The 7,836-nt window shown below is 49.6% G+C and overlaps 1 protein-coding gene and 1 long non-coding RNA gene across 8 annotated transcripts in view, besides 1 other annotated feature; one reads left to right on the forward strand and one right to left on the reverse strand.

Annotated features, from left to right (window-relative positions):
- The window catches only part of CNNM4 (cyclin and CBS domain divalent metal cation transport mediator 4), a 50,973-nt gene extending 47,137 nt beyond the window's left edge, over positions 1-3,836 (forward strand). For 4 of the 7 annotated variants that reach the window (XM_005263914.5, XM_047443912.1, NM_020184.4 and 1 more), the window contains 2 exons: positions 523-704; positions 1,282-3,836. In XM_005263914.5, coding sequence (XP_005263971.1) covers positions 523-704; positions 1,282-1,479 — 380 coding nt within the window. In that variant the 3' untranslated portion in view covers positions 1,480-3,836. Of the gene's footprint in view, positions 1-522; positions 705-1,193 lie in introns of those variants that run through there. The other 3 variants (XM_047443911.1, XM_005263915.5, XR_007071513.1) reach the window with 2 other exon arrangements.
- Positions 4,201-5,619, reverse strand: CNNM3-DT (CNNM3 divergent transcript). Its single transcript, NR_149141.1, has 2 exons — positions 5,456-5,619; positions 4,201-4,451 (listed from the first exon to the last, which is right to left on the reverse strand). It is a non-coding gene; the product is annotated as a CNNM3 divergent transcript (long non-coding RNA).
- Positions 7,377-7,496: an enhancer, noted in NCBI's record as "active region_16233". NCBI's record gives its function as "activates an Ori minimal core promoter by ATAC-STARR-seq in GM12878 lymphoblastoid cells {active_cell/tissue: GM12878}" and the evidence as "EXISTENCE:reporter gene assay evidence [ECO:0000049][PMID:35858748]".

Raw genomic sequence — 7,836 nt, forward strand, 5'->3', positions numbered from 1 at the left:
CCACCATGCCTGGCTAATTTCTGTATTTTTAGTAGAGATGGGGTTTCACCATGTTGGCCAGCCTAGTCTCCAACTCTGACCTCAGGTCATCCTCCTGCCTCGGCCTCCCAAAGTGCTGGGATTACAAATGTGAACCACTGTGCCCAGCCTAAGAATGGCAGTTTGCCTGTCCTGCTAGGATGATCATTGTGTTGCCCTTGACTGATTGGTTGTTGTGGGAAACGAGAGATTTTGTAGCCATAAACTTTCTAAGTCTGTGGTTTTTATTTTCTGTTTGGTTGATTTGTTTTGGTAGACTTTTTAATACTTGTTGCACAATAGTTCTAAACAAACTAATTCATTTGCTTTAACGAAGTCAGACCTTATGCAGTCAGACCTTCTACATGCTTCTGTTTGTCCCTAAGAATGACTTCCTGTTCCTGGGTGGGGTGTCCCTGGGCTTCCATGGGATGAGGTGAGACATGAGGGTGAGAGTGGGCATCGGAGTGGCCTTTGGCATGACAACCTCTGCTCTCCCTGCAGACCGTTCCCCAGCACACCCCACCCCACTCAGCCGCTCAGCCTCCCTCAGTTACCCAGACCGCACAGACGTCTCAACTGCAGCAACCTTGGCAGGCAGCAGCAACCAGTTTGGCAGCTCTGTCCTGGGCCAGTACATCTCTGACTTCAGCGTCCGGGCACTCGTGGACTTGCAGTACATCAAGGTGAGTGCCTCACTGCCCTGTCTGGGCAGTGCTATCTTCTGCTCAGGAATCAGCTACTACTTTCATCCACCAAACCCAGCATGGTGGGCCCAAACCCGAGATGCCTTTTTCTTCTGGAGATGGGGTCTTGCTCTGTCGCCCAGGCTGGAATGCAGTGGTGTGATCATAGCCCACTTCAGCCTTGAACTCTTGGGTTCAAGGATTCCTCCCACCTCAGCCTCCTGAGTAGCTGGGACTACAGGTGTGCATGTGGCTTCGGGTTTTTTTTTTTTTTCCCCTTATAGAGATGGGGTCTCACTGTGTTGCCCAAGTTGGCTTGAGACTCCTGGGCTCAAGCGATTTGCCCGCCTCAGCCTCCTGAAGTGCTGGGATTACAGGTGTGAGCCACTGTGCCCAGCCCTGAGATGCTTTCTTCTCTTGTTCGTGCACCTTGTTCTTTGTAAGGGCTTCCAGAGACGCTGACTGGTCATGTTCTCTCTCAACTCACAGCCTCAATCCTGGCCCTGTTTCTCCAGGCCTGGTGATAGGGTCTGCCTCCCAGCCCCTCCCTCCATGAACTCATCCCTTCCTCATGCAGATCACTCGGCAGCAGTACCAGAACGGGCTGCTGGCTTCTCGCATGGAGAACAGCCCTCAGTTTCCCATAGACGGGTGCACCACCCACATGGAGAACTTGGCCGAGAAGTCTGAGCTGCCTGTGGTGGACGAGACCACAACTCTTCTCAACGAGCGTAACTCCTTGCTGCACAAAGCCTCCCACGAGAATGCCATCTGACAGGAGGGCCCGGGGCCCCCTGCCCACCCTGCGGGGGCCTCCCCAGTGGGCCCACATGAAGAGAGGGAACCTGTTAGTCCAGAAAGGATACGGATAGATAGCCTGTCTGACTGAACAGCCAGATGGCCCCCAGCCTATGGGGGATCTGGCCTCTGCCAGGGACCTCTGAGTAGCTCTGAGGTGGCACTGTCCAGCCCTGGATAGGGGGGGCAGTGGGCCAGCTACCGTAAGCAAAGGCTGTTTTTTACTGAGAGAATTTCTAAAGTAGGCTCATCACTTTTTTTTAAATATCATTTTGGGAAGGGAAGACAGGGTTAAGGAACTTTATTTAAAAAAAAAATATTTTTTTCCTAAAAACTATAAAAGAGGAAGGGTTTCTTGTCCCGGGAAGCAACGGACATAATCTGTTCCCAGCCATGGCCTTCCAGCTTGTGTCCCTGATTCAGGGAGCTCTCCCTTCCTCCTCCTCCTCCTCCTCCGGAGGTGGGATCCCAGAGCCTGCCAGTGGAGGCTTATCTGTTGGGAGGAAGACAGCTCTTCACAGAAGCAAAGAACAAAATGGCATGGAGATCAGCTGCCTGAGCACCTGCGCTGTAGCTTATCTGACAACGCTGAGGCCACGAGCTCCTGGGTAGCTGTGATCAGGGACATGATAATCTGAGCTATGCAGAGGAGCACATCTGTTGTCAACTGCTGTACCCAGAAATCTAGAACTCTGCCGACAGCCTCTCCTGGTGAGTCGGGACTCAGCTGAGGACACATCCCCACCCTGCCTCCCATCTGGCCCTTTGGACAACTGGCCCTTTGTGACAGGGCTGACTCAAGTGTTAGGCAGGGTCTCAGGCCTTTGATTGCTCACCCCTGCTCCCCAGGCCCTGCCCTCACTTTTACCAAAGGTTCTCCCTCGGCGGGAGGGCATCTGTGTTGGAGGTGATTTGTCTGGGTTCTTCCTTTTGGTTCCAGAAGGAACTGTCAGTCATCAGCATCTGCGTTGTTAGCAGTCAGTACCACCCCCGCCCCACAATGACAGTCAAGGCTGACTTGTTGACTGAAGCCTTTTTCCCAGACCCCTTATTTCGAATCCCCAAGCTTCAGTCCCTCTTGGGGGTGGAGACAAGAGGACATGTGGGAAGCCACGGAAGCAGGTTCTTTATGTCCTCTCCTCTGTGGCTGGCAAGGCTCACCTGGCCTTATCCACCCACTTATGGAACCTCAGGAGAGGAGGGCTCCTCCTAAAGGCATGCAGCTTGCAGCCCCTCTTTCTCACACGTGTGATCCTAGCGTGAGAGGTCATCCTGCCCTTGCTGAAGTTAGTAGTACTGTACTAAGAGCTCTGCCCTCATGTGAATTCCTGCCCTGGCGCCTCTTCCCTGGGGCTGAATCAGGCCCTGCTGCAAAACTCCAGGCTTCCCAGGGTTGGGGAGGCTGTGGGACCAAGGTCCATGTTGGTCCTTCCACTGGGTGCAGCAGGAGCTGGGTCCCGAGAGCCTGGCAGGTGAAACTCTGCAGGCCTTCCGCCTGATTATTATTTATTCACTCCTTTCCTCACCCCAAGTGCCCTGCTCTCCAGGTGCCTAGAGTATCCTAACTCTTAGGACCAGGGATTGTCTTGCACCAAGTATGCCTACCCCTGGCCAGTCTGAGGTCTCCTAGCCATAGAACTGACTCCTGGAAGCCTGGAGAGAAGGTGGTGACACCCATGGGTTCTCAACTGTAAGGAAAAAAGACACCAGACTTTTGTTCCCTAGTGGGGGAAAGCCCTTAGTCTTGTACAGGAGCAGCTTGCTCCCAAGTCCTTTTGGAAGCTGGCAGAGCTATATTCCTGACAGCCCTGACTGCCAGGTAGAGCAAAAGACATTGGTGGGGGTATGTGAAGCAAAAGGGGCAGGTGCACACACCTCCACAGTGACCTCTGTGCACACGGTTACCACCAACTGGCTGGCCCTCCTCCTCTTCCCTGGCCCATTGATCATCCCTTCTCACAGAGGGTCATCATTATTTCCAAATATTGTTTGTCTGATGACTTCCTCTTCCCAGTGCAATTTTTCCCTTCCTATTTCAACCTCTGGTTCCTGGGATGAGCCATACCCTGGAACTGGCCCACCCACTGTGTCTTCCACGTAAGGGAGACCTTTGCAAAGGGCATCCAAATGGGTAGGCAGGTGACAGCCGCCGTATTTATTTTGCATAATATTTTAATTTGTATATTTTTGTGATTTATTTTGGCGTTATGAGTTTGACTCTCGGGGAGTTTTGTTGTTATGACTCTTGTGTCTTTTGTCACAAAACAATGATATTTGCTAAACGATATATGGAATTTATTTTTGATTGGTAATAAAAAATCAAATATGTATAAATCCTGGTGAATCTACAACTTGCCTGTTTGTTCTGTCAGTATTCAGTATGTTGTTGAGATAAAAGTGGCTGTGGCTGGCTGTCTCTTGTGATGGGACAAGGGCAATAAAGGATTCTAGGACCATTCAGCAGTGAAATGCAATCAGAAATGGAATTTCTAAATATAGTCAAGGCTGTCGTCACAGGAGTGAGAGGGACGTGGCTGCTGGCAGACATACAGGACAGATGTGCTCAGCTGCCATAAGCATGAGTCCTGTGAAACAGATCCCATAGGGCCCTTGGCTTGTGAGTACTGGAAGGGCAGTGGGCTTCAGCAAATTGCCCCTCCTCCCTACCCATGGGACTGAAAGAAGCTTGATCCAAAAGTATGAGTAATATTGTTTTATAACATGCAGCTGCCTTTTCGTCCACACCTACAGGCTAGTGGTTTCAAAGTTGGAGTGTTCATCCCTTGAAGAACCTGAGTTACGTCACTATACCCACTCTCAAAGTTGCAGCTCTGCAGGGGACTCCCATGGTGCTGTACAGGTGCTGCAGGCTGGCTTGTGCGATTGAGTGTGCTGAGGCCAGGGGCTCCAAGCATGCAAAGTTCAATGGAGTAGACAAACTGGGGGCATCTATGTAGGCAACAAAGAAAAGAGGATATTCCAGATAAAAGAGGTACACATGCCAACGTCTGTGTCTGGGGCAAGATTTGTAAATTATCTTCATCCATCTGTTCCACACGTTTAAATCCCTTTCGCACGCCAGGTACTACCAACCCCTCTGTGAATTTAATGAAGAACCTTCCCACCACCCCAAGGGGGACAGTCACACACAGCTTTTCCATTTGCTGTCTCCCTGACCTGGGACACATCTCCTAAGTCTTGGCGAGGCTCACCCCTTATTTCATTTAAGCCTCAGTTCAAATGCCATCTCCTTGAGAAGGCTTCCGATTAGCCCATCTCAATCAGCATCACCCCAGCATCTGTCTCTTTATCTTGCCTTTTTCCCTCCATAGCACTTACTACCAAATATTGAAATATAGACTTGGGTATTTTCTATCGTCCTTGCGCTAGAATCTAGCCTCACAAGGGTAGGGACTTAATTTTATTCCCACTACAGTCCCAACACTAGAACAGTACCTGCTACACTGCAGGGACTCAATGCAGGAAATACTTGTTGAATGAATAAATGAATACATGTTACAACAGGGGATGTACTGGATGATATGGGGAGAGCACATAGCTCCAATAACCTTGAGCCAACCTAGTCGAGGGTCAAGGAAGATCACTCGGAGGGAGCAGCATATGAGCTAAGGCTTGAGAGAGAAGCAGGAATTAGCCGGTGGGTTTAAAACTCAAGAATAAATATTTAGATATAACATGGAAATGTCTTGATCCAAAAGACCAGTAAGGAAAACGGCCCAGGGAGGGCCAACAGTGGTCTGAAGGTCAAGTGGCTGTGTCTCCACTGATGCTAACCAGGGGTGGGGTAAAGAATGGCACAGCCACAGGAGAAGCTGGTCAAGGACTGTTGAGGCCTCTACTGCAAAAGGGAAACCACTCCAGGAGCAGCTTTGCGTGCCCCATATTGGATTTTTTTGTATCTTTGGGTACTGACAATTTAAATGACCACTTACGTTTTCCAAGTTTGATCCAATTGTTCTTCCACCTGAAGCTTTACTCCCAGAAAGTTAGTTATAGGTTGTTTTCCAAGGAAGCCTGAGACAAGGAAAAAGTAACCTGTTGAAGGTGAGAGCTCTGTCTCTAAATCCATGGGGAGTTTTTCCTGGCTTTTCTCTGGAACTGTTGTTTGTTAATGACTTTTCAGGCACATGACTCATTTCAAGCATGTCATCCATTCTATTTCAATGTCAGTATTTTATCTTGACGTGGAGACAGAAGTGAGAACTAAAGGAGCTGAATCTATTGTAATGTTTGCACTTTTTTTTTCTTCAGAGGCATGATGTTGCAGTGCAAAGGCCCAGTAATGTCTTTATTGCTTCTGCTGGCGGCTTACTCTGTAATCTGCAAAAGTAAGGTAAACTCAAAGGGCACAGAACATCACCTGAATAATAAAAAACACGGAGATGCCCCATTGGCCTAGTCACAGCTCTGAGTTTACAATGCAGAAGAGACACTATTACCATCTTTTAAAAATACACTATTACCTTTTTTTTTTTGAGATGGAGTCTCGCTCTGTCACCCAGGCTGGAGTGCAGTGGTGCGATCTTGGCTCACTGCAACCTCCGACTGCCTCCCGGGTTCAAGCGATTCTCCTGCCGCAGCCTCCTCAGTAGTTGGGACTACAGGCACCCGCCACCAAGCCCGGCTAATTTTTTGTATTTTTCGTAGAGACGGGGTTTCACCGTGTTAGCCAGGATGGTCTCCATCTTCTGACCTCGTGATGTGCCCGCCTTAGCCTCCCAAAGTGCTGGGATTACAGGCATGAGCCACCGCGCCGGGCCACTATTACCATTTTTTTTTTTTTGAGACATAGTCTTGCTCTGTCGCCCAGGCTGGAGTGCAGTGGCGTGGTCTCAGCTCACTGCAAGCTCCGCCTCCCGGGTTCACACCATTCTCCTGCCTCAGCCTCCCGAGTAGCTGGGACTACAGGTGCACGCCACCACACCTGGCTAATTTTTTGTATTTTTAGTACAGATGGGGTTTCACCATGTTAGTCCGGATGGTCTCGATCTCCTGACCTCGTGATCCGCCCGCCTCCGCCTCCCAAAGTGCTGGGATTACAGGCGTGAGCCACCGTGCCCGGCCAGCTATTACCATCTTTTAAAAAGTTTTTTACAGGCCGGGCGCGGTGGCTCACGCTTGTAATCCCAGCACTTTGGGAGGCCAAGGTGGGTGGATCACGAGGTCAGGAGATCGAGACCACGGTGAAACCCCGTCTCTACTAAAAATACAAAAAAATTAGCCGGGCGTGGTGGCGGGCGCCTGTAGTCCCAGCTACTCGGAGAGGCTGAGGCAGGAGAATGGCGTGAACCCGGGAGGCGGAGCTTGCAGTGAGCCGAGACTGCGTCACTGCACTCCAGCCTGGGTGACAGAGCGAGACTCCGTCTCAAAAAAAAAAAAAAAAGTTTTTTACAAAGCCTTTTCCTTTGGTCACTCACCACCAGCTTACTCATTTTTTTTTTTTTTTGCACATTACCTTCCACACAAGTTTTACTTTGTGGCCACAATGTGCATACTTTTTTTGATTGTTACTTTCATGACATAGCAAATTGTTTCTATAGAGTCTTTATAAAGGTCATTTAAAATGACATGTGCAGTAAGTCAAAGTCTTCTTGTGCTAGGAAATTTGAAAAAACAAAAGTGTAGAGAAAAATACAAAAATTACTGAATCTGAACATCTATAGAGAAGTGTTGTTAGCAGTTGGTTTATTTCCTTCCAATCACATACAGATCATATCTGATGGGTAAAGAATATTCCATACTGTCAACAGACCACACTGTCTTCTAAAATCGCTTCAGCAGTGAGGATCCTCTGGAATAGATCTTGTTAATCCTGAGGAATTATTCTCCCAGCGGTGAGCTATGAGAAGTGGAATCACCAGATGTAGTAATTCCTGACAGAACTGCCGCCTGCTTGTGTGGCTGAGATGCTGACCTAGGTATCAGGCTGGTCGCGCCGGAACCCAGCACCCACGCTGAGTCTTTCTGAGCTCCACTCTGCTCCTGTTAGATATTAACCACCTGAGGTAGCTGTCCAGATTCAAGGCGGTAGTGATTTTGTGTGTCTGTGTATTTATCACGGGGTCCGCGGCGGGAACGCAGGGGCTGTGTCCCACGTCCCCAAACCTCTAGTAGGGTACGGCGCGATGAACATCTTCCATAAACCTTAAACCTCCCGGCGCTCAGTCACTGGTTCTTATTTCAGCCCTCTTAGCCCCGTAGGTCGGCGCGCTGAAAACCTTTCTGGTACCTGGGGCCTTTCCTAAGAAAAAGGCACATGTCTCGCACATTTCAGTCTGGTCTGCAACTTCAGGCGCGCCAGCACCCGAGGTTC

The sequence above is a fragment of the Homo sapiens genome, chromosome 2 (genome assembly GCF_000001405.40).
Source record: "Homo sapiens chromosome 2, GRCh38.p14 Primary Assembly".
NCBI classification, from domain to species: Eukaryota; Metazoa; Chordata; class Mammalia; order Primates; family Hominidae; genus Homo; species Homo sapiens.